This window comes from Homo sapiens, chromosome 19 (assembly GCF_000001405.40).
Source record: "Homo sapiens chromosome 19, GRCh38.p14 Primary Assembly".
In the NCBI taxonomy this organism is placed as follows: Eukaryota; Metazoa; Chordata; class Mammalia; order Primates; family Hominidae; genus Homo; species Homo sapiens.
Genome location: NC_000019.10, coordinates 44,175,461 through 44,203,351, shown reverse-complemented (window position 1 = coordinate 44,203,351; position 27,891 = coordinate 44,175,461). Strand labels below are relative to the sequence as shown.

The following is a 27,891-nucleotide window of genomic DNA, read 5'->3' as shown; positions in this document are numbered from 1 at the left end:
AAAGGGGAGAGGGAGAGGGGGAGAGGGGGAGGGGAGAGGGAGGGGGGAGAGGGGGAGGGAAGAGAGGGAGAGAGGGAGAGGGAGAGGGAGAGGGAGAGCTATTTTTTGATATTTCTTATAGAAACTTTATTGAGATATAATGGATACAGTTTACCCATTTAAAGAGCACAGTTAAATGAATTTTATTATATCCAGAGAGTTGTGCAACTATCACTGCAATCAATTTTTAGGACATTTACATAATCTCAAAAAGATACCTGATACCCATTAACAGTCACTTCCAATTTTTCCCAAACTCCTCAGCCCTAGGCAATCACTAATCTACTTTCTGTAGATGTACATATTTTGAACATTTTCTGTCAGTGTACTCACACAATACGTGGTCTTTTGAAACGAACTTTACTTAGCATAACATGTTGAAGGGTCATCCATGTTGGTGCATGAACCAGTTATTCATTTCTTTTCATGGCTACATAATGTGCCATTGGATGAATACATCACATCTTATTTATTCATTAATGGCTATTTTGGATTGTTTCTACTTTTGGCTATTATTAATAATGTTGTTTTGAACATTTATGTACAAGCTTATGTGTAGGCATAAGTTTTAATTTCTCTTGGTTGTATATCTAGGAGTGGAATGCTGAGTCATATAATAACTCTATGTTTAAACCCTTGGGAAACTGCCAGACTGTTTGCCAAATAAATTGCACCATTTTACATTCCCACCAACAATGTATGAGGGTTCCAATTTCTCCACTCCCTTGGCAACCCTTTTATTATCTGTCTTTTTTACTGTAGCCAATCTGGTGGCTAAGCAATATCTCATTGTTGTTTTGATTTCCGTTTCCCTAATGACTTATGACATTGACCATCTTTTCATGTGCCTATTGGGCATTTATATGTCTTCTTTTGAAAAATGTCTATTCAGATACTTTGGCCCATTGTTTAATTGGGTTATTTGTCTTTCTAAAGTGTTGAATTGTAAGAGTTATTTATGTATTCTAGCTACAAGTCTCATCAGATATATGATTTACAAATACGTTCACCCATGTTGGTGTCTTCACTTTCTCGATGGTATCCACTGATACACAAAAGTTTTTCATTTTGATGAGTTCCAATTCATTCATTTATTTTTTGTTGTTCCTTGTGCTTTTGATGTCATATCTAAGAAACCATTGCCTATTTCAAGGTCATGAAGATTTATATCTATGATTTCATCTAGTTGTTTATAGTTTTAGCTGTTACATTTAGGCCTTTTACCCACTATAAGTTAATTTTTGTATATGATGTAAAGTAGGGGGTCCAACTTCATTCTTTTTCATGTGCACATCCAGTTTTCTTAGCACTATTTGCTATTTGTTGAACAGACTGTTCTTTTTTCATTGAATTGTCTTGGCACCTGTACTTGATTTTAATATTCATATACTGTGTCTCACATTGAATAAGCATCCTTAATTTTGAGGAGAGAAATTTAATAAGCATTTTCCTTAATTTCTGTGCTTTTGAAAGTCCTAGGTTTCAAGAATATTCTCCTACATTAAAAAAATTAACTTTCTACATTTACCTTTCCCATTTAGGCCCTTTAATCCTTTTGAAATCTATGTAAATATTATTAGGTAAAGATCTGCTTTTATTTTCCTGCATATACAAAAAACCTTTAAAATAATTATAATAAATAATATTTATGGATAGACAATTTAATATTTTAAACATCTCAATATTCTTCACCAAAGTAATCCATCATATCAATGCAAACCCAATAAAAATACTAGAATTTTTTCTGGAAATTGATACAAATATTATAAAAATTTGGAGTAAAATCTGAGAGCTAAGAATAGTCAAGATAATGTGAAAGAATAACAAAATGGAAGACTTACTTTATGAGATATCTAATCATATTATAAAGCTACAATATCAGTGTGGCATTTGCTTAAAGATATATAGATAAAGGAAGAGAATAGAGTGTAGATCAAAGTAAATACTGTCATTTCATTTGTGAAAAGAATATGCTACTGTACAGATTATAAAAATTCTTTTTAATATGTGCTTCTTCATCAATTAGATATCCACATGGGAAAATATATATTCGTCTGTACTTCACAGAATTCACAAATATAACTTTCAGAAAAAATGCAGATCTAATTTTGGAAAGTAAAGCAATGACACTTAGGGAAACAAAAGAACCTGTTTGTTGCCCTGAAGTGGAAAAAAATATTATATGAGACCAAAATAATCCACAATTTTTAAAAAATTAGGTGACTTAGATTATTTTAAAAATGAAGAACTTCTCTTAATTAAGGCACCAATGAGAAAATGAAAAGGTAATTCTCAAATTGAGAAAATTTGTAAACCATATATGTGACAAAAGATTCATATCCTGAGCATATAAGAATACGTAAATCCTAAAATCTGTAAGAAAAGTCAGGCAAACAAATCAGAAAAATGTAAAAATAACTGAACAGATAGTTCAGAAAAGATGACATAAATACTCAATAATCAAATAAAAAGATACTCAAGTTCTTGAGTCATCAAAGAAACTCAAAATATTATGAGAACTCCACTACATTCCAACCATAAAGGTTAAAATTAAGAATTAGTCAAAGAAAGGTTGACAAAAATGCAAATACTTGCATCGTGTAGGAATGTAGTTTTATACAACCACTTTGCAATAAAGTTTTGCAGTAATTACTGAAGCTGAGTAGTTTTAGTGCTACCACTAAAACTTTCAGTGCTATTACTAAAACTGTCGTATAACCCTTAGATCCATGCTTATATATATATTATCAATAGAAGGAGATTCATATGTTCAGCAAAAGACATGTCTTTTTATGTTTATACAAACACTAATTTTATTTTATTCATTTTTTATTTATGTTTTTTTTTTGAGATGAAACCTTGCCCTGTCACCCAGGCTAGAGTGCAGTGCTGCAATCTCAGCTCCCTGCAACTTCTGTCTCCCGGGTTCAAGCAATTCTCCTGCCTCAGCCTCCTGAGTAGCTGGGATTATAGGCACATGCCACCAAGTCAAGCTAATTTTTGTATTTTTAGTAGAGACAGGGTTTCACCATGTTGGCCAGGATGATCCAGAACTCCTGAACTTGTGATCCGCCCATCTCAGCCTCCCAAAGCTCTGGAATTACAGGTGTGAGCCACCACACCCAGCCTACAAGCACTGATTTTAATAACCAAGGACAAGAAACTACACAAAATCAACGATTAAATGAATTAATAAGTTATGTGATATTTATACATTAAAATAATACATATTAATGAGAGTAAACCAGTTATATTCACTTCCAACAGCATGGATAAATGTCACGGACATAATGTGGACAAATAAAACACAAAATTGTACATATTTTTTCTATTTATATGAAGTATAAAAAATAGCAAAGCAAATCTATGCTATTATAAATCAGAACAGTGCCTACCTTGAGAGAAAAGTAGGAATTTGAATTGGGCACGAACGTTTTTAGGGTGATGTGCTAATGCAGGTCCTCTTAGAAATAAAAATGCAGCCAGGCGAAGTGGCTCATGCCTGTAATCCGAGCACTTTGGGAGGCCAAGGTGGGCAGGATCACCTGAGTTCGGGGTTCGAAACCAGCCTGACCAACATGGAGAAACCCATCTCTACAAAAAATACAAAATTAGCCGGGCATGGTGGCCCATGCCTGTAATCCCAGATACTCAGGAGGCAGAGGCAGGAGAATCACTTGAACACAGGAGACGGAGTTTGCAGTGAGCCAAGATCTCGCCAGTGCACTCCAGCCTGGGCAACAAGAGTGAGACTCTGTCTCAAAAAAATAAATAAATAAGAAAAATAAAAAGGAAAGAAAGAAAAAAAATGCAAAGGCAGAATTAGTTGTGTAAGAATTTTATTAGGGGAAATGATTGTGAGAGAAAACAGGAGAGAAGCTGCACCATGATGTAAATCTAACACTGAGTAAAGAACAAAAGGCAGCCCAGGGAACAAAGTGAGACTCTGTCTCTACAAAAAAATACAAAAACTAACTGGGTGTGGTGGCACGTGCCTGTAGTCCCTGCTACTTGGGAGGCAGAGGCTGGAGGATCACTTGAGCCGGGGAGGCAGAGGTTGCAGTGAGCCAAGATTGTGCCACTGCACTTCAGCCTGGGTGACAGAGTGAGACCCTGTCTCAACAACAACAACAGCAACAACAACACAACAACAAAGGAAGATTTGATAAAATCATTCTAGACTTCCATACAGCTTAAGAAAAGTTACATTAGGCCAGGTGCAGTGGCTTACACCTGTAACCCAGCACTTTGGGAAGCCAAGGCGGGCGGATCACCTGAGGTCAGGAGTTCAAGACCCACCTGGCCAACATGGTGAAACACCGTCTCTACTAAAAATACAAAGATTAGCTGGGTGTGGTGGCATGTCTGTAATCCCAGCTATTTGGGAGACTGAGGCAGGAGAATCCTTTGAACCCTGGAGGTGGAGGTTGCAGTGAGCCGAGATCGCACCACTGCACTCCAGCCTGTATAACAGAGCGAGACTAAATTTCAAAAAAAAGAAAGAAAAGTTATATTAAAGAAAAAGCCATTAAAGTCAGGTATTCACAATCTTATCTATCCAACAGAGAAGATCCATGTCTCCCTGAACAGGTCTACCTTAGAATCCTTACTGCTCTCAGATATTGACTGGGAGCAGCAGCCTTCAGAAAATCTGGCCTTGATGCAAACACAGGATTGACCTTAAAACACAACAATAGGGGTCTTTGGTTACTTGCATTAAAATATTTGTGAAATACATTTTCATGGCTACCACATGCTGGTTATGTGCAGTTTCTTGATACAGATGCTGGTATTTTGAGTGTGTTGAAAATTAAACAATCATGACACATATGACATATACATTTTTCTACATATATTTATACTTCAATGAAAATTTAAAATATGTGGTGCTATTCAGATACTGGACAATTCAATGTTGTAAAGCTATCAGTGCTCCTTTGAATAATCTATATATTTAATAAAATTCTCAGCAGTTTTTTGGTGAAAACTGGCAAGCTGAGTCTAAAATCTGTAAACAAAAGCAACAGTCAAGAATAACCAAAACATCAAAAGAAAATAGAAAGAGGTGGGTTTATGCGATAAGACATCAAGACATTTTATGTATTTGCAGTAATTAAAAGTGTGCTATATATGCAAATATGAATAGACTAATGGAAGATAATAGAAAGTTCAGAAACAGATTTACATATATCTAGTCATTTGATATTTGACAAAGATAATAAAATGGAGAAATCTCTTAAGAAGTGAGGATATTGTATATTCTTCACATAGAAAAATAATTAATCTTGACCTTTAGCACATCCCATATGTAAATATCAATATGATATGGAATATAGATCTTAAAATTAAAAGATTTTTTTAAATAGCTACTAAAATATCTTTGTGACCTTCTCTAATGTTGGCAACGATTTTTTAAAGTACCAACTGAAAAGTAAAATTAAAAAACTTAAAATGAGAATGGTTGTTTATCAAATGTACCATAAGGAAAGTGAAAATGCTGGCCACAGTTGAAAAGATAATCACAATACACACATATGTCAAAAGGCTTGTAAGCAGAATATAAAGAAATCCTATAAATACAAGAATAAGACTGACAACCAAATAGACAAATCAACAAATCACTTGAGTAAGCACTATATGAAGAATATACAAATGTACAAGGCTTCAGATACATGCTCTGTTTGCTCAACTTCATTAGTCATTACAGCAGTATAAATTAAACCCTCAATGAGACAACTCTATTGCCATACCAGAATCACTGATTTTTTAAAAATTACTCGTGTATAACTGACATGTTATATCTTTTGACCAATATGTCCCAACCCCTCCACTCCAGCCCCTGGTAACCAGCATTATACTCTACTTCTTTTAAAAAATTAGAATGGTGAATTTAAAAAATAATTTAAAAATAATTTAAGTCTGACAACACCAAACATTGGCAAGCACGTGGAGCAGATGGAACTCTACCACGGTCCTTGTAAGAGTGTAAATTGGTACAATCACTTTGGAAAATGTTTCACAGTATCTGCTAGAGTTAAATTTATGTATTCTCCATGACACAGAAATTCCACTTCTAGCAAGCAGAAACACACACACATGTGCACCCCGAAATATATACAAGATTTCACCCATGGGATGTAGTGTGCCTACACTTGCTCTACAGTAACAAAATAAGTAAACAATTGCTATAAAACAGCAGCATAGTTCAATCTCACAAACATAATGTTGGGCAAAACAGAGACACAAAAGGATATATACAATATGGTTTCATATATATAAAGATAAAAGGAAAAGTAGTCAATGGTGATAGAAGTTAGGAAAGTGATTATAGTTGAGAGAGAGGGGTAGTGTCTGAAAAGGAGCAGAAATGGTTCAATATCAGTCAGGGTTCAATCAGAGAAGCAGAATCACTAGGATTTTAGGGACAAGGACATTTTAAAGTAGGAATTAGGTAAACAAACATGGGAAGACAAATCAGAGATGGTAGGACTTCTGAGAATTGAGGCATGTCCCACTACTGAAATGGAACTGTTAACAGGAATCATGGTAAGTTTAGTGAATTCTATCAACATGAGCCCAATGGATACAATTCATTTTTTGAAAAATGACTGCCCTGGTCACAAGAAATGCTGGGTGGAATTCCATGGCAGAAAATAAAACATTTTGTAAAGTCCACATGTGATGCTTTTATCAGAAACATTGGAATAGGAAAGGCAAATTCATATCTAGAGTAATTGTCTTTTCCACTGAAAACAAAGTGCTGTCTCCTCCATGATCAAAGTGGTCCGGTGTAATCAAATTCCAGCAGGAGGTTGGTAGTCCCCTTTGAAGAACAGTGCCTATCTGAGGTCCAGTGTTAGTCCATACTTTTGATAGCTTGGCCATATAAATGTGGTTGTAGCCAGATTGGATTTAGTAAATGGAATTTCATAGTACTGAACTAATAAGCTCCATTTCTTCCACCATGACTACACTGTTCATGCACCCACTGGGAATGGACATGGTTGACTAGAGAAAAATCTTGAAGAATATTCACAGAATGTACCATCTTGATCACCTGATTATTAAGCTCATCTTCTGGTGAGGTTGCTGATTATTGACAATTAAATAGGCCGCAAGTAATTTTATATTCTGCTCATTAAAAGTAGTCCACTCACATACCTCATTGTCAATTTGCCTTGTCAACCAATTATCAATCATGCTTCTTTGAAGTCCATGACCATCCAGCAAAACTATTCATCCCCCTGGCATCATTCCTTCTGGGAAAAAAAAAAACTATGAAGTACACTACTCAAAATTCTAACAAATGGGAATATTTTCTTTTACCACTCTCCTTTGGGGCCACCACAGCCTGAGGCTGTAGTGTGCCAGCTGTCCGGTTTTAGGTGATGCTAGAACATTATGCAGAATTACCTATAAAGCAGGTCCACATGTTTCTTCTTCATTCAATTGATTATAGCAAACTCCTCATGAAGTCAAATGTATGGACTAAAAGACTGGTGTCACCGTAGCAGGACAAATGGAGCCAGGGAAGGTGATGAAAAGAAGGTTCTCATGCACATATACCTGATAAGAGGAACGATCACAAAGACTGCAAAAATCACAACAACCTTGCACAAAGGCCACCACAACCTTACACATACAAAAATACTTTGGTTAAGACAGCTGCCCAGCAACTGGCTGTCCAACCTTGAACTACTACCACCTTTGTTAGTGATCCTTGTAGCCAAAGATAATTGTTTCAAAAAACTCATGTAACCCTCCTCACTTCTTTAAAAGCCCTTGTCTTTCTTTACCTCCCTGAATACACCCACTATATTCCCATTGCAATACTCATTCCTGAATAAATACAATTTTCTTTTAGACATCTTCTCTCTGTGTCTGCTATTTAGGTTGACATAAAGTTTGTGTCAAGAAGTCAGCTGACCTCAAACAGGCCAGCATCCCCTGGAATCTAGTGAGGTACCAACATTGACCCCTTTTGTGGCCTCTGCTTCTATGGCCTTCCTTCTCTGCTCTGGTGAATCTCTGCTTAGATTCTCAGACGTCCTTCGTTTGGTAAGTTCTTTTGACTTTATTCAGGATCTGGATTTGGCTATAAGGCCACCTTAAATTAAGGACCTTGCAACCCTTGTGGGACTACAAAAGACTTTTTGTCTTTTCTGGAAAGCCTCTTCTGGTATAAGGCCAAGTGTTCTTTTGGAGAGTACTCTGGTTCCCACAGAACTTACGTTCTGTGAGGCATGTATTTTCTACTGAATTTGCTTTGGTTTTTCTGCAAACACGGTTTTATATTTTGTTTGCTCTGCAAGCCTGGCTTAAAATTTTTGTGAGCACGCTTCATTTGGTTTCATGTCAATTTGGTTACATGCAACTGTAAATAATTTGGCTCTTTTGTTTTCCCTGCTTGTTTCTGAACACTTTCAAAGAGCAAAAATAAACATTCTAAATGGCACAGTATATTACTGTTTTAATGTATCATGACTAAAATTTTAAAGGGAAAAGGGAAAATATCTTTTTGTGTTGTCTGTATGTTCTTGTGTCTATATATGTATGTAATATTTTCTACCAAAATGTATGAAAGAGCTCTATTTAACTGACTTAAAGAAAAAAATTAAGCACTTAAGTAATTTATCAGAAAAATAGTAGTTAACTCACATTTTTTTAAAGTTCACATGACTTAGGTAAATCTTTGGTAAATAAACTGATTTTAGTGGACAATTAAAGCCACTAGGACCAGGCATGGTGGCTTGTGCCTGTAATCCCAGCCAGCTGGGAGGCTGAGATGAGAGAAATACATGAAACCAGGACTTCCAAACCAGCCTGGGCAACATAACAAGACCCTGTCTCTAAAAATATTTCTTTAGAAATTAGCCAGATGTGGTGATGCACGCGTGTCTCCCCAGCTACTCAGGAGGCTGCGATAACAGGATCACTTTGCCCAGGAGTTCAACGCTGTAGTGAGCTGTGATTGTACCACTGCACTCCAGCCTGGGCAACAGAGTGAGACCTTGTATCTAAACAACAACAGTAACAACAAAATAAGAATAATAATAAATGCCACTAGGAACGTCACTGCCATCTATGACGGACTCCAGTCTCCAAAGAAAACGTCTCCCATGTAAGGATAAAATAGTCACAGACAAGGAAGATTACCACTGAGGCACCTGCCAGTCTCAAGAAAATTTCTACACAACCAGGGAAAACTTGGTCATAGGTTAGACAACTAGGACAAAGGCCATCTGCCAAGTATAAAAAGATGAATTCTGTGTCAGGTACACTAGTTAAAACAAAACAGCTTGGTCAATGCTTTTGACAAAATTTTTGGGCTTTTCTTTGCTCTTGAGAGATTGATAAGAAATGCAATGGGATCTTCAACTTCTAAAGAATGCCAAGCCCTCTGGCACTTGAGGCAGCTATACATTTGAAATTTATGGTCCTTTCTCATGCACATTTAAAAAATAATTGGCAAATTACACTAAGGATAATGTACGGCCATTATGGGAATTATTTAAACTCTCTAAGCTTGTTTCCTTAGAGCTGAATTAAGAGACTGGAACTGTAGGATTAACATGTACGGGCTTCTAAGCTAGCTCTCTTTTTTTCTCTGCTCGCTCTGAATCTGCTAACTTGTTTGCTTGTATTAAATTTGTTAATAAGTTCAAGGATTCTTGGAAGTTTATTTTTCTAGCCAATCCTAACTGAAATGTAAATATCCAGAAGTTAATTAAAACAACTCATTTAAAATTGAAGAGGAAAAAAGGGTAAAAGATTTTTCAAAAACTAAAATGCTATAAAAACAGCTTTACCCAAAATTTGGTCCACTTCCCTCATAAGATTACCTATCAAAGGCAAAAGAAAAAAAAAAGATTAGCAATATGAAAAACTGATCTTAACTTGTCCCATTTTTTCAGAAATATAATTTGGATCCAACTGTCTTTTTTTATACACTTGTGATTTTATATTAGTATATTTTACAGTTTCTTGACTACAATTTTACAGTGATAAGCTATAAGATCTTTTTGTGTTTCTGTATGTTTCTTGGTCTGTGTTATACATACATAATATTCTTCTACAGAAATATATAAAAGAACTTTATGAAACTGATGTAAAGAAAAAAAATTAAGCAATTTATCAGAAAAAATAGTAAATAACTATTTACTAAAAATAGTAATAAACCCAACTTTTAAAAATTTGTGTGACTTAGGTAAATCTTTGGTAAATAAACTGATTTTAAAATTGTTGTTAAAATAGTGAGGTCTTCAGAATTGCAAGCATACATTTTGCCTGGATATATTTGTCAGACAATTTTCTTTTTATATAAGATGAATCTTATGGAAAAAATTTGTGTTTAATCAAGTTGCCTATAGTTAAAAGGGAATTATTCACAGGTTTTATCAAAAATTGAGTATTAATACAGTGATACAAAACCAGAATCCATTCACCTATGTTTAAAGCAACAAGGTTTTCTTGATGTATTTATGTGATTTTAGTTAAAAAAAATCTGCAAGAGGTTTTGATATTCTGAAATCCGTTTAAATTTTCAGCCGTCTTCTGAACTGCAGCTTTTTCCTGTTTTACACTTTCCACTTAATTTCCCTTATTCCAGCTTTAAAATACTATCTCCCTCATTTAAAAATAGTAATTTAGTTTCTCAAAAGAACTTTCCTTTTGAAGCTTTTCAAATTCATATCTCAGTTCCACTTTGCTGTATCTCATTGCACATGATTTGATGAGAAACATGCTTCATGTTGTCTTTAATTAGGTTTTTGATTACTTAGGTGCTTTGAAAGAATTAAGGTTTGTTTTTTTTACATCTACGTAAAGTTCTGCATTTGTTTTTGGAAGCTTTTTTCACTCTGATTAAGTGAACGACTAAAATCATGCATCATTGCCTTCAGCTCTTCCTTGTCTCCTTAGGGATGATAACCCTCTCCCTCAACTTTGGAGTCAGCTCCTGTAACTCTCTCCCTCTCTCACCTCTCACTCCTCTTGCTTCTCTCGCTCTCTCGCTCGCTCTCTCTCTGGCTCTCTCTCCAGTTCTGACTCTGCTATTGTGGCCTAACACTAAAAATGTTTGTCTTTAAGGCCTAGGAGAATCTAGGGGAATAATATTTTCTTCCAGTATAATTTGATTCTGTAATTTTGTCTTTTCTTGATGTGTCTGAATTGCTGTTTAACCAATAAATTCCACATTCTTTTACTTTTTCTAAGAGCCACATATCCGCCTGCTCAAGGTACTTGTTTTCTTGTTTATCTTTTCTATAATATGGTACACTCATAACCTTGGATACACACTCTTCCAGTGTTTAGTTGAATTCAAGTACCTTTTCATCAGGCTCAACTTCCAGGTTATTGAAATGGGTTTCCCATAGGGAGAAGCAATCACAAGGGGTTTTTAAATATGTAGAAGGTTTTTATCTTTTGATAGCTGGCCTAGGAAACAAAGATTTTTTGTTTTATCAAAATAATTTCTCATGCTTCATGTTGTCTTTATTAGGTTTTTCATTACTTAGGAGCTTTGAAAGAATTAAGGTTTTTTTTTTTAATCCATGTAATGTTCTGTATTTGCTTTTGGAATCTCTTTTCACTCTGATTAAGTGAATGACTATTATTCCACAATAATCTGTGATTCTGTTTTAATTAAATGTTTTAACCATTTTGACATTTTTGGCAGGTCTCTCCAGGATCAAAGTTCTAAATTAAGTCTTTTTGACCTATAATTAACTGAGAGATTTTCCAGTTGGGCCCCTGGAGAACCTTAAAGGAGGTATCATCTTGTAGAGATGTTAAACTAATTTGGCTTATTTGATTAATTGTATGGGAATCAATGTCAAATAATAAAGTGATGCTATATTTTCTTTAAGTTACATGGATATGTTATTGATGTATATTAAATATTATGTGAAATTTAAAAAGGTCTGATGGTCCTGATGTAATGCTATCAACCACGATTCTGGTTGTTACCTTAAAATGCTAAATACAATAGAAATAATTGAATTTCCTTCTCAACTGCTGAACTCCCATCAGATTTTTAATGATGGTTATTCTAAGTCTTTGACATCCATAGTTTTGATTTTTCTCTAAAGGTATCTGCAATCAGATTCATGGAAAAGACTCTAATAAGTACTCTTAAATACAAGTTTCTAATAACTTCAAGATTAATGAACTAAATAAAACTTTTCACAACTGCAGTGAAGAAACTGATGAATTTGTGAAACTGCTAATCAAGATCAAGCATAACAAAAACTAATTACATGAAATTGAATAACTGATAATGTTTTTATAACTTTTAATTTAAACATTGTTGGTTTTTTACTGAAATGTTTTGTCTTCCAAGTTTAAGGAAACATTTTCTCTTAAGCTATCTATAGTTTACAACAATTTGGTAAAATATACTTCTGTGAACAAAGGTGGAAATATTTATTTTTTTCTATTTGATCCCTTCAAAATTTGGAAGTGATTTGCTAGTGTTTCTTAAATGACAATATAATTATTTGCATACATTCAGTATGAATCTGTACCTCCTTGTAACATGATACAGTTAAAAACATTGGTTGTATTACCAATTAAAACTGGAATGCCATATTTAAATTTTTATTGGTACTGCAAACAAAGTCTGAAGTCTGCCTTTGTTTGGCTTTCTAGACTCAAGGAGGTTTAAAATCTGAGATTCTTGGCCAGGCACGGTGGCTCACACCTGTAATCCCAGCACTTTGGGAGGCCGAGGCGGGCGGATCAAGAGGTCAGGAGATCAAGACCATCCTGGCCAACATGGTGAAACCCCATCTCTACTAAAAATACAAAGAAAATTAGCCAGGCGTGGTGGCGGGCGCCTGTAGTCCCAGCTACTCGGGAGGCTGAGGTAGGAGAATGGCAGGAACCCGGGAGGCGGAGCTTGCAGTGAGCCGAGATCGCGCCACTGTACTCCAGCCTGGGCGACACAGCGAGACTCCGCCTCAAAAAAATAAAATAAAATAAAATCTGAGATTCTTTTGTGCTCAATTTACTACTCTTGCTGCTCTTATGTAAATTATTAAGTAATAAATAAACTTTAAAAAACTAAAATAATAAAACTAATAAAATAATACAAGAACCTAAAATAATAATAAAACTAAACTTATTTACAAACAAATCAGTCTTACTGTAATTATCTTTGGTAGAAATTAGGATAACTATATAGAGACAAAATTATGTTTCTAGAAAAGGACTATAATACATCTGTTATTAGATTGTAGTTCTGTGCATTGTCTTTGAGTTTTTATTATCTACTGTAGACCAGACTGGATCCTAAGTTATTCTAGGTTCCCTAATCTAATTTTCTCCCATGTTATTACTAAGAATGGGAACTACTCTTTCCTAAAGCCCTGTAAGCTGAAGCTAGAAAACTTGATGTAAATTTTAAGAGACAAGCCTCATGCCTGATTTGTGGGTCATGCAGAAAGTTCACCAAACCACCCGATGCTATAACGAGAGACATTCAAACTACAAACCAGGATGAGAAGTTGATGTCTTTATGCTGTGGACAGCTTTCTCAAGATGCCAGAACAATCTTTATCATAATGAGACTGTTGCCCCTCTTAGTTTGTCCTTGCCTATGCTTAACTTTTTCACTGGGCAGGATAATGGTGTAGTTAAAATTTTACAATTAGTAGCTTATGTGGACAACTTGACAAAATGTTAGATCTGTTATGCCAACTGTAGATCTTTACATGACCAAAGAATCCTTTAGTCCAACTTTAAAAATATTCCTAATACAACTGTCACTCACTCTATGCTTTTAATTCAACCCAGTCATGAGATATCAGATGACAAAATTTTTCTATATTATCTACTGGTTAAATAAGGTAGTGTCTATGCTATTGCTAGGACTACATGCATACCTGGATAAATTCCTCTGGGGAAGTTGAGACCCAAATACACAAAATAAGAAAACACGCACATAGTTACATTAGGTCTCACCTAATTCCCAATGATCATTTGATTGATTCAGTTGCTTGCCTTTAAGCCCAGGTTCATGGCTCGAAACCATTATGCAAACTGGGATGATCATATTAGTATAAATTTTACTTCGTATCTTTCTTTTTAAACTTTGTACCTGTTGCCTGTCAAATTTCTGTGGAAGTACAACTCCTAACACAATAATGCTGGCCTACAGCTTTGAAATAATAGCCCACACCTACAGAACAAACAAAATTGAACTTAACAACGGACTCCAGGTAGACCTAGCCTAAGAGCCACTCCCTCCAAACCTCCATTGTTGCTCAAATGTCATGACCTTACACAAACAAAACTACTTCCATGAAGACATCTACCCAGCAACTGGCTGTCCAACCTTGGACTGATACCACCGTTGTTACTGAACCCTGTGGTCAAGAAAAATTGTTTCAAAACAACTTATGTGGCCCTTTTCATTTTTCCTTATAAAACTCTTGTCTTCATTTACCTCCCTGAATATACCCACTGTATTCCCATTGAAATGCTCATTCCTGAATAAATGTAATTTTATTTTAGAGAGACTCTGTCTCTTCTATTTAGATTGACATTTATATCAGACAAAATAGACTTAAGACAAAAACTGTCACAAGAGACAAAGAAGGATATCATATAATGATTAAAAGTTCAACTCACTAGGAAGATACAACAATGACAGTTGTTCCTCAGTATTCACAGGGGATTAGTTCCAGGACACTCTGTGGATACCAAAATCCATGGATACTCAAGTCCCTTACATAAAATGGCACAATATTTGCATATAACCTATGCACATCCTCTCATATACTTTAAATCATCTCTGGGCTATTTATAATTCCTAATATTATGTCAATACCATGCAAATAGTCATTATATTGTATTGTTTAGGGAATAATCACCCAAAAAAGTTGGTACATATTCAGTACAAATGCAACGGTTCATTCTTTTCAAATATTTTTGATCCAAGATTAGTTGAATCTGTGGATGCAGAACCTGCAGATACAGAGGGCTACGTAAATATATATGCACCTAACATTAGAGTGCCCAAATATATAAAACAAACATTGACAGAACTGAATGGGGAATAAACAGCAACACAATAATAGTAGGATACTTTAATATCCCACTTTCAATTATGGATAGAACTAGACAGAAGATCAATGAGGAAACGGAGGACTTGAACAACACTAAAGACCAACTGGATCTAACAGATACATACAGAACACTTCACCTAACGACAGTAAAATGCACATTCTTCTCAAGTGTGCATGAAACATTCTCCAAGATAGACCATGTTAGGCTATATTACAAGTCTTAATAAATTTAGGAAGACTGAAATTATACAAAGTATCTTCTCTAACTATACTGGAATAAAACTACAAATTAATAGTAGAAGGAAAACAAGAAATTCCACAAATATGTGGAAATTAAACAATGCATGCTTAAACAACCAATGGGCCAAAAAATAAATCATAAAGGAATTTAGAAAACATCAGGAGACAAATAAAAACAGAGATACAACATTTCAAAACTTATGAGATGCAGTGAAAGCAATCCAAATAGGGACATTTATATTGGTAAACACTTACCTTTAAAAACAAGAAATATCTCAAATCAACAACCTAAGCTTATACTTTAAGGAAATAGGAAAAGAAGAACAAGCAAACCAAAAGTCAGCGGAAGGAATAAAATAGTAAAGATTAGAGTAGAAAATAGAGAGAAGAAAATAACTTTTAAAAAGAAAATTAAGAGTCTGTTTTGAAAAGATTAACACAATTGACAAATTAATTAGTAAAAATAATTAAAATTAATTTCTTAGCTAGATTAAGAAAAAGAGAAGACTCAAATATTTAAAATTAGAAATGAAAGAGGAGACATTATGACTGATGTCACAGAAATAAAAAAAGTATAAGAGATTACTATGAAGAAGAATACACCAACAGATTGGATAACCTAGAAGAAATGGATAAACTAGGAATATGCAACCTATCAAGACTTAATCATGAAGAAATTTTAAGAAAACAACTGAACAGGTGTATAACTAGTGAGGCATTGGACGTAGTCATCAAAAGCCTCCTAAGAAAGAAAACTCTAGGACCTGATGGATTCACTGCAGAATTCTACCAAATATTTAAAGAAGAATTAACATACAAATTCTTCTTAAATTCTTCCAAAGAAGTGAAGAGGAAGGAACACTCTCAAACTCATTCTATAAGTCATCATTAACCTGATACCAAAAGCAAAGACACACAAGAAAATAAACTGTAGACCAATATCTCTGATAAATATTGATGCAAAAATCCTAAACAAAACACTAGCAAACTAAATTTAACAGCACACTAAAAGAATCACAGGTCATGATCAGGCAAGATTTATACCTGGTATAATTCAACATATAAAAATCAATCAATGTAATACACCACATAACAAAATAAAGGGCCTTTCATGATTAAAAAAAAAAAACCACTTAACTAGAAATGAAAGGAAAGTACCTAAATATAATGACAGCCATATATGAAAAGCCCACAGTTAATATCATATTCAATGGAGAAATACTGAAAGCTTTTACTCTAAGATCAGGAACAAGGCAAGGATGCCCAACTTACCACTACTATTTGACATAGTACTGGATATTCTAGCCAGGTCAATCAGAAAGTTTTTAAAAAGACATCCAAATTGGAAAGAAGAATTAAAATTTTCTCCATTTGCAGATGACTTGGTCTTATATGTAGAAAGATCCCACGTACACAAAAAAGCTACAACTAATAACTCAGCAAAGTTGCAAGATACAAAGTTAGCACTAAAAAATCAGTTGCATCTCTATATACTAGCAATCACCAACGTGAAAAGAAAATTTCATTTACTATAGCATCAAAAAGGGTAAAATACTGAGGAAAGAACTTAATCAAATAACTGAAATATTTTTACATTGAAAACTACAAAACATTGTTATTAATAAAAGAAGAAATCTAAGAAGATACAAATAAATGGGAACTCATCCTGTACTCAGGGGTTTGAAGACTTAATAATGTTAAAATTTCCATGCTACACAAAGTGATTTACAGATTCAATGCAATCACTATCAAAATCCCAATGACTTTTTTTCAGAAATAGGAAAAAAAAATTCTAAAATTTGTATGCAATCTCAGATGCCTCACACTCCCTAATTTCAAAACATACTTCAAAAGCAGCAGTAATTAACATGACGTGGTACTGGCATATAGACATATAACCAATATAACACAGAACCCAGAAATAAACCCCTGCATATATAACCAAATGATTTTGACAAGAGTGCCAAGATTACACAATGAGGAAAGGACAGTCTCTTCAAAAAATGGTAATGGGAAAACTGGATATCCATATGCAAAAGAATAAAGTTAGACCCTTACCTTACATTGTATACAAAAATTAAATAAAAATGGATTAAAGGCCTAAATGTAAGACCTAAAACTGTTAAAATCCTAGAAGAAAATATAAAGGAAAACCTTCAGAACATTAGATTTGGCAATTATTTCTTGGCTATCACAACAAAAGCACAGATAATGGAAAGAAAAATAGACAAATGGGATTATATCAAACTCAAAAACTTCTGTGCATCAAAAGAAACAATCAACAGAGTGAAAAGGTAGCCTGCAGAATGGAGGAAAATTGCAAGTTATATATCTGATAAAGGGTTAATATCCAGATTATATAAGAAACTTCTACAACTCTATAACAACAACAACAAAAAAACCCCAAATAATCCAATGAAAGAAATGGGCAAAGTTCTTAAACACACATGTCCAGAGAAGATACATAAATTGTCAATAAGTACATGAAAAGATGTTCAATATCATGAATCTTTTAGAAAATGCAAATCAAAACTGTAATGAGATATCACCTCACACCCACTATTGTGGTCACTGGTAAAGGAAGAGAAAAATAACAAGTGTTGTCAAGGATGTAACGTTGGAAGACCTGTGCACTGTTGGTGGAAATGTAAAATGGTATAGCCATTATGGAAAATAATATGGAGGCTCCTCAAAAAATTAAAAATAGAATTACTGGATAATCCAGCAATCCCACTTCCGGGTATATATCCAAAAGAACTCAAAGCAGGATCTCAAAGGAATAGATATTCATCACAGCATTATAGCCAAGATGTAGAAGCAATCCAACTGTCCATTGACAGAAGAATGGATAAAGAAAATGTGCTGTACACAGACAATGCAATATTATGCAGCCTTTAAAAAGAAGAAAATCCTGCCACATGGCACGACATTAATCAACCTCGAGAACATTATGCTAAGTGAAATAAGCAAATCACAAAAGGGCAAATACTGTAAGAGTCTACTCATGAAGTATCTAAAGTAGTCAAAATTATAGGAACAAAATTTAGAAAGGTAGTTACCAGGGGCTGGGAGGAGGGGGGAGGAAATAGTATCTAACTGGTATAGATTTTCAGTGCTGTGAGATGAAAAGTTCTATAGATCTGTTGCATAATATGAATACAATTTACACTAATGAATTGTACACTTAAAAATGTTAAGATAAAATATGGTTAAGATGGTAAATTTAGTGTTATGTGTTTTTGTACCATAATAAATGTTTAAAGTGAAGCACACACATACAAAACTCACTAAGAATCCTAGTAGTCATTGTGTCTCTTCCCTGGTGGTTTTAGAAGGGTCATATGCAGCTATTTGCTCTTCACTTTGGAACAGGTATCTTGGAATATCCGATACCACTGGTCCTTTAGAAATCTTTTTTTTTTTTTAATGGAGTCTCGCTCTGTCACCCAAGCTGGAGTGCAGTGGCGCAATCTCGGCTCACTGCAACCTCCACCGCCTCCCGGATTCAAGCAGTTCTCTGCCTCAGCCTCCTGAACAGCTGGGATTATAGGCGCCCGCCACCACACCCGGCTAATTTTTGTATTTTTAGTAGAGACAGGGTTTCACCATCCTGGCCAGGCTGGTCTTGAACCCCTGACCTCGTGATCCACCTGCCTCGGCCTCCCAAAGTGCTGGGATTACAGGCATGAGCAACCGCACCCGGCCAGTCCTCTAGGAATCTAATGAACATGGCCAGCTCCTGAATTTTTGTATTATCCATCTTCTAACCAAAATGTCTATTGTAATTGCTTCTTTCTGCTTAGAAAGTACAATCAGCATTGTATCTACAGAGTAGAGCAGGGGTCAGAAAGTTATTTCTGTAAAGAGCCGGGCAGTAAATATTTTAGGCATTGCAGATCACATGATCTCTGTGGCCTAACTACTCAACACTGTCATTTTAGCATAAAAGCACTCCTGGGTAATATGTAAAAACTGGTTATGGTTATGCTTCAATGAGACAATTTATAAAAACAAGTTGCAGGAGATTTAGTCCATGAAACATAGTTTACCAATCCCTGGGTAAATTGTGAAAAATACTGGAAAGTAGATACAGAACTGAGCTGGGACCTTAAAAGTGTATTGATGGCCCTACCAAACTAAACTTCTGTGGATGACATTTACAGGCAGGTATAGAGAAAAAGGCACATATTGGCTTGGTGGCTCTCTATATCAGGTGCCAGCAGACATGTTGATTTGCTGTAGAAATAAAACCACATCTGGAACTGCAAATGAAGTCAATTTCTAATTAAATTTCAAATAATTTCATGTAATTCTCTAGGATATAAGTATCTCTGCACACGTCAATTGAGTGAATCAATCAGCATATGAACATGAAGGTGATCTGGCTGCAACATCTGTCACCCTATTGATCACCAGGGTTGAATCAGGATGTGATAGAACCATAACCCTTGCAACTTTCAAGATACTGCTAGTGGCACTAACCTCTGCAATTCCTCCATGAATGTGGTTTTGCTTTCAGGTTATCATTTTTTTTGGCACATACAAAGCATTTATAGTGTTTGTCCTTGGCAAAATAGCCCTCTTTCCATGGATCAGGGAACATTCAGTATGAGGATTCTGTCAGCTATTGAATGCAGCTGGTGCAATTCTGCATTCTGAAACTTGGGAAATAATCAGAGGATGAGTTCAGGGCTCCATTCAGACCACCACAAACGGGCCTAAGCAAAAACATTCATTAATTATTCATCCTCTATAAGCCCTTCTGCTACCTGGTGGGCTACAGTGACATTTTAGGGTTCTCAGAGTTAATGTCAATTCAGCTCTAGTGACCAGTAATCAATCCCTCCATATTCAGGCTGTTTCCAATTACCTAATCACAGCTCCATTAAATATGGTTGCCAAGTCACTTTGCAGAAGTGCAGGATGATTTATGGTAGTATAAGTCAGTTTCGGCAGCGTATCAGTGTACTTTCTCAAGAAGACTTGACCTACACTTCATTCAAGGTGTTCTGGGAATGAGAACTCATTCACATTATGTAATTGCCTTAGAGGCCACAATTCTCTCTCATGTTGATTTACCAGACCCAGAGTCTTTCCACTTATTCAAATCAAGCAGGGATTCAGTAGGCTTCTGGTCTATTTCAGCCAGAGGGACACCACAATCTATGAACAAATGCAAAGATCTCTGATAATCCCTTTGACTTTGCTGATCATTGTGATAAACGCACTCATTTTGTCTCTACCAGTAAAGTGCCTCCACTTGACCCCTAATGCTCCAGGATCCCATCATCCTCATTGAATTTTTTTTTAAAGCCCATTTCAATGTCACAATTTTCCTCTCCCATTCCTGGTCTGCCGAGAAGAGTTACTACAGAGCTCTCCCAAACTGCCAATGCTCCTCTCGCCAATGAACTTCTCAAGTCCTTGGCAAAGAGTGTCTTCCGAATCTTCCCAGAGTACAAGGGTTGAGTAAGGCTTTACATACATCCACTCCAGCATTCTGGCATTCCTATGTCTCTGTATATGTTCTATAACACTGGTTCTCAGTTGGGGACAATTTCCAAACCCCCGCACTGCTGTCTGGCAGTGTCTGGAGACATTTTTGCTTGTTATAACTGAGGTGTGTGTGTTTGTGTGTGTGTGTGTGTATGCACGCGCGCGCGCGCATCACGTGTGCTACTGGCATCTAGTGGCTAGAGGCCAAGGATGCTGCTAAACATCCTACAATGCATAGAGCATCCCCTAACAGAGCTATCCAGTCCAAAATGTCAGTTGTGCCAAGGTCGAGAAATTCTATAACATACTTACAAAGTTCTGGCTTTTTTTTACTTTAGGGTAGGCTAACGTTTTTGCATCCAAGTTTCATACAACTGAGAAAACTGTTGAAACTATTCCCAGGTGCTCAAGCTAACAGTGGGTCTGGAATCACTGTTCACTACACCCATATCAGCAAATCCAGCCTAATCCATCATTGTATTATTTCCACCTGATTCAACACTGGTAAGATCTACAACCATATCTATTTCTCAGGTTTCTATTGATATAAATTACAAAAATCCTTACTTTGGCGATGTATCTCCTCATGGTCGTATTTTCTACTTGGTGACTCCTCCCATTGTCTGTGAAGACCCGAGTTTCATTATTGGTCTAGAAAAATGAGAGGTAGTGGAAGCAAGTCTTGAGGATCTAAAGCCTTTTGCAAGGAAACCATCTCAGGGAAGGTCATCACAGGCTTTTCAGGCAAGGGAGACTGACTTCAAATAGAGGAAGAAGGGCTCCTTCTAACGGCAAGAGATGCTCAGCTAGATTGAGCAAAACCCTCAGCTTTGTTGGAATCTGCTCATCTGTTCCCAAATTTTTCAGGATTCCATTCCTTCTCATTGATGCCTTGTGACATAAGACACCCTAAAAGTTCTGAATTAAATGTGTTGTCATTCAGCCGCTGATTTTGGCTTTGCATCCCTCTTTCTCAAAAACAAAGGAATCCTGATAATATATAACAAATTCTCCCAAATGTTAATATGCAGCCAAGCTAAAAGCTAAGATAGAAAAATCTCCTGGAGGCTCAAAATAGGGAAGTTGAGTCCATGGTGCAAGGGAGAGATGAAACTTATTTTTTTCTTGAGACAGTGTCTCAACTCTGTCACCAGGCTGCAGTTCAGTGTTGGGACCACAGCTCACTGCAGCCTTAACCTCCTGGGCTCAAGTGATCCCTCCATCTCAGCTTCCTGAGTACCTGGAACCACACATGTGTGCCTCCATGGCTAGCTAACTTTTAAAACTTTTTTTGGAGAGACAGGGTCTCACTATATTGCCCAGGCTAATCTTGAACCCCTGAGCTCAAGAGATCCTCCCACCTCAGCCTCCCAAAGGGCTGGGATTACAGGTGTGAGCCACTGCACCTGGCTGAGTTGAAACTTGATAGTTCACAAAGGCCAAAAGAACTGGACACACAACTAGCTGTCTAATCTTGAGTGTAGATGAGAATCAAGGCCAGAGGAGCCACAAACACTGTGAGTAGTAAACTACCTAACACTACAAATGAAAGAGCACCTCCCTTCCACTGACTGAAAAGAAAAGATAGGTGCTCCCTGGTTGCTAGCCCCATCTTGAACCTAAAGACCAGGGTTAACCAGAAGGGCAGATATGAGAATCAAAAAAAATCATTTTGGAATCCTGACAGAAGCAGGTCTAAGTCCTGCTCTACCTGGGGTCTTTTTTAAGTTATGGGAGACAAATCATTTGGTTTAACATAAGGCTTAGTACACGTTTTTCTGTAAAGGGCCAGAAAGCACATATTTTAGATTTTGTGGTCCATAGTTTTTGTCACAACTACTAAATTTTGACACTGCAGCAAGAAAGCATAGATAATACACTAAAACACAGGCATTGCTATATTCTAATAAACCTTTAAGGAAGTGGGCTGGATTGGGCCCACAGGGGGTAGTTTTTTGACCCCTGACTTAACTCACTAAGCTACTGAGAGTTGGTGGGCTATCCTGATATCTAAGAGCAAACTAAACATCGAAGACTCAGGATTTCTGATATCTAACACAACTTGAGGTATCATGGACTTTACATACTTAGCATGTGAAGATGCAGTCCAGGAACAACAGGAATTGTAATCCAAATAGAGAAAATTGTGGAAACCTCACAGATATATCCTTTGCTGAGTAAAGCCTTTAACCAAATAAGCTTTAAATGTCACAGAAACGCCTAAGAAAGAAATGGTATTCGATCCTGCTTAACTGCCTGTTCCCAGTTTGTTTTCACTGGCATCATGCTGTTCTCTCCCTACGCACATCTTTTCCTCAGGGAATCTTTGTTAAATTTTACCTCAAAAATTACATATTTCCACTCTATAGCTTCTGAATTTGCCCTCACCTTCTTGGGTTTTTTTTTTTTTTTTTTTTTTTTTGAGACAGAGTCTTGCTCTGTCACCCAGGCTAGAGTGCAGTGGCACGATCGCAGCTCACTGCAACCTCCACCTCCTGGGTTCAAATGATTCTTCTGCCTCAGACTCCTGAGTAGCTGGAATTACAGGCGCCCATCACCTCACCCGACTAGTTTTTGTATTTTTTTTTAATAGTGATGGAGTTTCACCATGTTGGCCAGGTTGGGCTCAAACTCCTGACCTCAGGTGATCCACCTGCCTCAGCCATCCAAAGTGCTGGGATTAGAGGCACGAGCAACCGCACCTGGCCTCTGTAAATTTTATTATTCCTTTTTTCCACAGCTCGATTTTCCTTGCCATACAGTACCTAGAAAGGCCCAGCCATTTCCCCCAATCAGACCAAGCACTTGAAAAGACAAGCCAGTGCCCTGGGTTATCTATCCATTCAGCCAGTGAGTAAGTCTGTCAAGAATTAAGAAGCATTCCTACTACTGGAATTACATTAAAACTGTATTGATTGCATAGATTTGTACCTAAGAAGCAGCTTCAAATGCATTCACTGCAAATATATATTCACTCTTACCAATGCATCTGTATCTTTGAACCACCATACAAGTTTTTATAATTGATTTCCAGAGTTCCATTCTTTAATTTTGGCCTTATATGCTATATGATGACACAAGATTTCTTAACTGTAAGGGATTAATATATTCTAGTAATTTTTTAAATTATATTTTTACTATGTTACTGTAAAATAACAGTATTTTACTATAAAACCGATGCTCAGTTAAAAAATTAAAATATAGAAGTTAAATGTGAAAAAAATTCCTGCATTCTCTTCGATGCTGTGGTGGCATAGGACAGACTCACGATTAGATGCACTATTCACTCACATGGACACACACGAATTTAAGGTATGTGATTTTTTTTTAAGACTGAGTCTCACTCTATCGCCCAGGCTAGAGTGCAGTGGCAACATCTTGACTCACTGCAACTTCCGCCTCCCAGGTTCAAGCGATTCTCCTGCCTCAACACCCCAAGTAACTGGGATTACAGGCACGCACCACCACGCCCAGCTACCTTTTGTATTTTTAGTAGAGACAGGGTTTCACCATGTTGGCCAGGTTGGTCTCGAACTCCTGACCTTAGGTGATCCACCCACCTCGGCCTCCCAAAGTACGGGGATTATGGACGTGGGCCATCACACCCAGCCTGTGATGTTCTTAAACTAAACTGTTACACTCTTCTGTCATAAAATTTGGTCATCATTTTCAAGGATCCTTTTTACTGTAGTATATAAAAAATTATTTCTATTTTTACAAAATTCATTAACACTGATGTGCTACTTACATTTTCTACTTGAATCTCCTAATCAAAAATTCCTATTCTATGAATTCCAGAAAAAAGAGATGCACATTCTATATTCTGATACATACTAACTTCTCTTCCAAAAGCATTTTTTTCACTGCCACCACTAGGAAAAAGGGTGAAAGTCATGCTCCAAAAATCGATTTTTGATGAAATTTATCAAATTTTAACTAATATTTTGTCCTTTTTCTCAGAATATGGGGGAGAGAAGTTCACAAAAGAAATCTGCAATAGCCGCAACCTAAACTCTGATTAAAGTAATGCTAAAGCCCTTAGAAGGCAATCATGTCAAAGCCTGAATGAAAATGTGAAAAAACCAATGATCAACATCTACTAAAAAATGTGTCATTAGCAACTCTGACACTTAAACCCCTGCCTTAACAGTGTTGAAAAAATAAGTGTAGTATGTAGTGTCCAGTTATTACAAGATGAACACAATTATCTGTTACAAAAGATAATTGAATCTATATGGTATAAAACCAGTAGAAAACTAGACATCTGGGAAGATAGGACCCAACTTGATTAGTGAGGCTAAAGGAGGACAGGATCTAATCACAAGACAATGCCAAATTAACATTGGGGAGTTCAGTATTGAGTGGTTTTCTACATTTCAATGGTCTCCCGACTTAATCTTATTAAGGCTACTTTCAGGTTTCCTGTTTACAAATTCATGATATTCTGCAGGTGATCTCAACATAATTTTCAAAAAGGACCTATTAACAAATATTGAGCACCTGTGAAGTATATGGCAATGGTAAGATTATGTAGATTCAGTAGTGAACAAAGTTTCTGTCTTTATGGAGTTAACATTCTAGTGGACACTTAATTTTGGCATGTCCACCATGATACTTTTATAAAAGGCCTGAGAAAAATTTCACTCTTAACACCCCTCTTCTAAGTAACATTTTATAAAGGTCAAGGTTCTGACTAAAGAAGCCCTTGCTATGCTAATCATAAAGATTGTTTTGTTGTCTTTGGACCACTGGGACATGAGGAGCTACGGCTGAAACACTGACTTTGAGACTTGATAACTGGAAGAATTCAAATGACACGAGTCTTCACAAAGAATCATTTTATAGATTTTTTTTCCTGTGTGGATTCTCTGATGTTCTTACCACCCCTATTACTTTTATAGGATTTATCACCAACATGGATTCTGTGATGAACTGTAAGATTTGATCGCCAACTGAAGCTCTTACCACATATCTCACATTTATAAGGTTTCTCCCCAGTGTGAACTCGCTGATGAGACTGTAGTTGTGAAGACCGACTGAAGACTTTACCACACACATCACATTTGTATGGTTTCTCTCCTGTGTGGACACTCTGATGAAGTTGAAGACTTGAGGCCTGACTGAAGTACTTACCACACTCCCCACATTTATATGGTTTTTCTCCTGTGTGCACCCTCTGATGCATGTCAAGGTTCAAGCTCCACTTGAAGCCCTTCCCACACTCATCACATTTGTATGGCTTATCTCCAGTGTGGACTTTTTGATGGGCTTGAAGATGTGCACTCCGACCGAAACTCTTCCCACATTCTTCACATTTGAATGGTTTTTCTCCACTGTGGACTCTCTGATGGGCCAAAAGATTTGAGGCCTGCCTGAAGACCTTCCCACACTCCTCACAATTATATGGTTTCTCTCCTGTGTGGATCCTACAGTGAATTTTAAGATCTGCTCTACGACTAAATCCCTTGCCACACTCTTCACATTTGTATGGTTTCTCACCCGTATGGATCAGCTGGTGAATCTGAAGTCGTGAGCTCTGATTGAAACCCTGCCCACACTCCTCACACTTAAAAGGTTTCTCTATACTGTGGGCCTTCTGATGGATTTGAAGATACGAACTTTGACTGAAGCCCTTCCCACATATCTCACATTTATAGGGTTTCTCTCCTGTGTGGACCACTAGATGAACTTGATAATGGGAATTCCTCCTGAAGCTCTTCCCACACTCATTGCATTTGTATGGCTTCTCTCCAGTGTGGACTCTCTGATGGGCTTGAAGATTTGAACTCAGAGTAAAGCCTTTCCCACATACAGTACATATGTATGACTTCTCTCCAGTGTGAACTCCCTGATGGGCCTGAAGACTTGAAGGCCGACTAAAGCCTTTACCACATTCCTCACATTTATAGGGTTTTTCTCCTGTGTGGACTCTCTGATGAATGTAAAGATTTGAGCTACAAATGAAGCCCTTACCACACTCCTCACATTTGTATGGTTTCTCTCCTGTATGAACTCTTTGATGGGATTGAAGATGTGAATTCCGACTGAAGCTCTTACCACATGCATCACATTTGAATGGCTTCTCCCCAGTGTGGAGTCTCTGATGGTCCTGAAGATGAGAGGCCTGACTGAAGGCCCTCCCACACTCCTCACAATTATAAGGTTTCTCTGCCGTGTGGACCTTGCAATGAACATTAAGTGCTGATCTACGACTGAAACCTTTCCCACATTGCTTACATTTGTATGGTTTCTCTATCACGTGGACTTTCTGATGGGTCTGTAGATGAGCGCCCTGACTGAATTCCTTACCACACTCATCACACTTAAGTTTTTCTCCCACATGTACTTTCTGATGAACAGGAAGAACTGGGCTGTAACAGAAGCCTTTTCCACGCTCAACACATGTAAGAGACTTCTCTCCTGATTGTAACTGCTGATGAAGATCAAAGCTGGAGAGATCACTGAAGGGTTTTTTACACTCATTACACTGGTACGATTTCTGTCCTGTGTGAATCATGCTATTGTGATCAAATGTCAAAATCTTCATGTTGTCTTTTTCATAATCATTGGGTCTATAAGATTTTTCACTTTTGTGTACTCTATGACCATCATGATGTGAAATCCAACCGATGGGATCAACACCCTTCTTACATTGACATAATTTATTTTTTATGGAAATTTGCTGATCTCTGTTCAATCTCTGTGACTCAGTCAGGAATGTTTTCCTCCAAGAATCCTGGGTTCTCAAGATAGGAAACTCTGGATTCCCAGTATTATTGGGACCATCTGCTTTATTTACTATATAGTTCTCATCTTCAGAAATTTGAATAGACAGTTCTGTCCCTACCTGGTAAGGGAAATCACCTTGTTTGTGACACTGAGAATTATTGATCATGGAGTCTTGACACCTGGTTAAGTCATTTGCAATTTGTTGCCAGATTTGCCAACAAGAAAGCTCTTCTTCTGATTCTCTGTCTTGAACAGTAATTAACTTACTTTGATTTTTCTCTCCTGTAAGGACAAAGGATTCAGAGAGATAGTGAATTTT

The 27,891-nt window shown here is 36.6% G+C and overlaps 1 protein-coding gene across 23 annotated transcripts in view; it reads right to left on the bottom strand.

Annotated features, from left to right (window-relative positions):
* Positions 1-3,861: 3,861 nt before the first annotated feature.
* ZNF226 (zinc finger protein 226) overlaps positions 3,862-27,891 on the bottom strand; it is a 34,391-nt gene continuing 10,361 nt past the window's right edge. For 15 of the 23 annotated variants that reach the window (NM_016444.3, NM_001032372.2, NM_001388171.1 and 12 more), the window contains one exon: positions 25,667-27,854. In NM_016444.3, the coding sequence (NP_057528.2) occupies positions 25,678-27,854 (2,177 nt within the window). In that variant the 3' untranslated portion in view covers positions 25,667-25,677. Of the gene's footprint in view, positions 27,855-27,891 lie in introns of all 23 variants that reach the window. The other 8 variants (XR_007066996.1, XR_007066997.1, XR_002958357.2 and 5 more) reach the window with 8 other exon arrangements.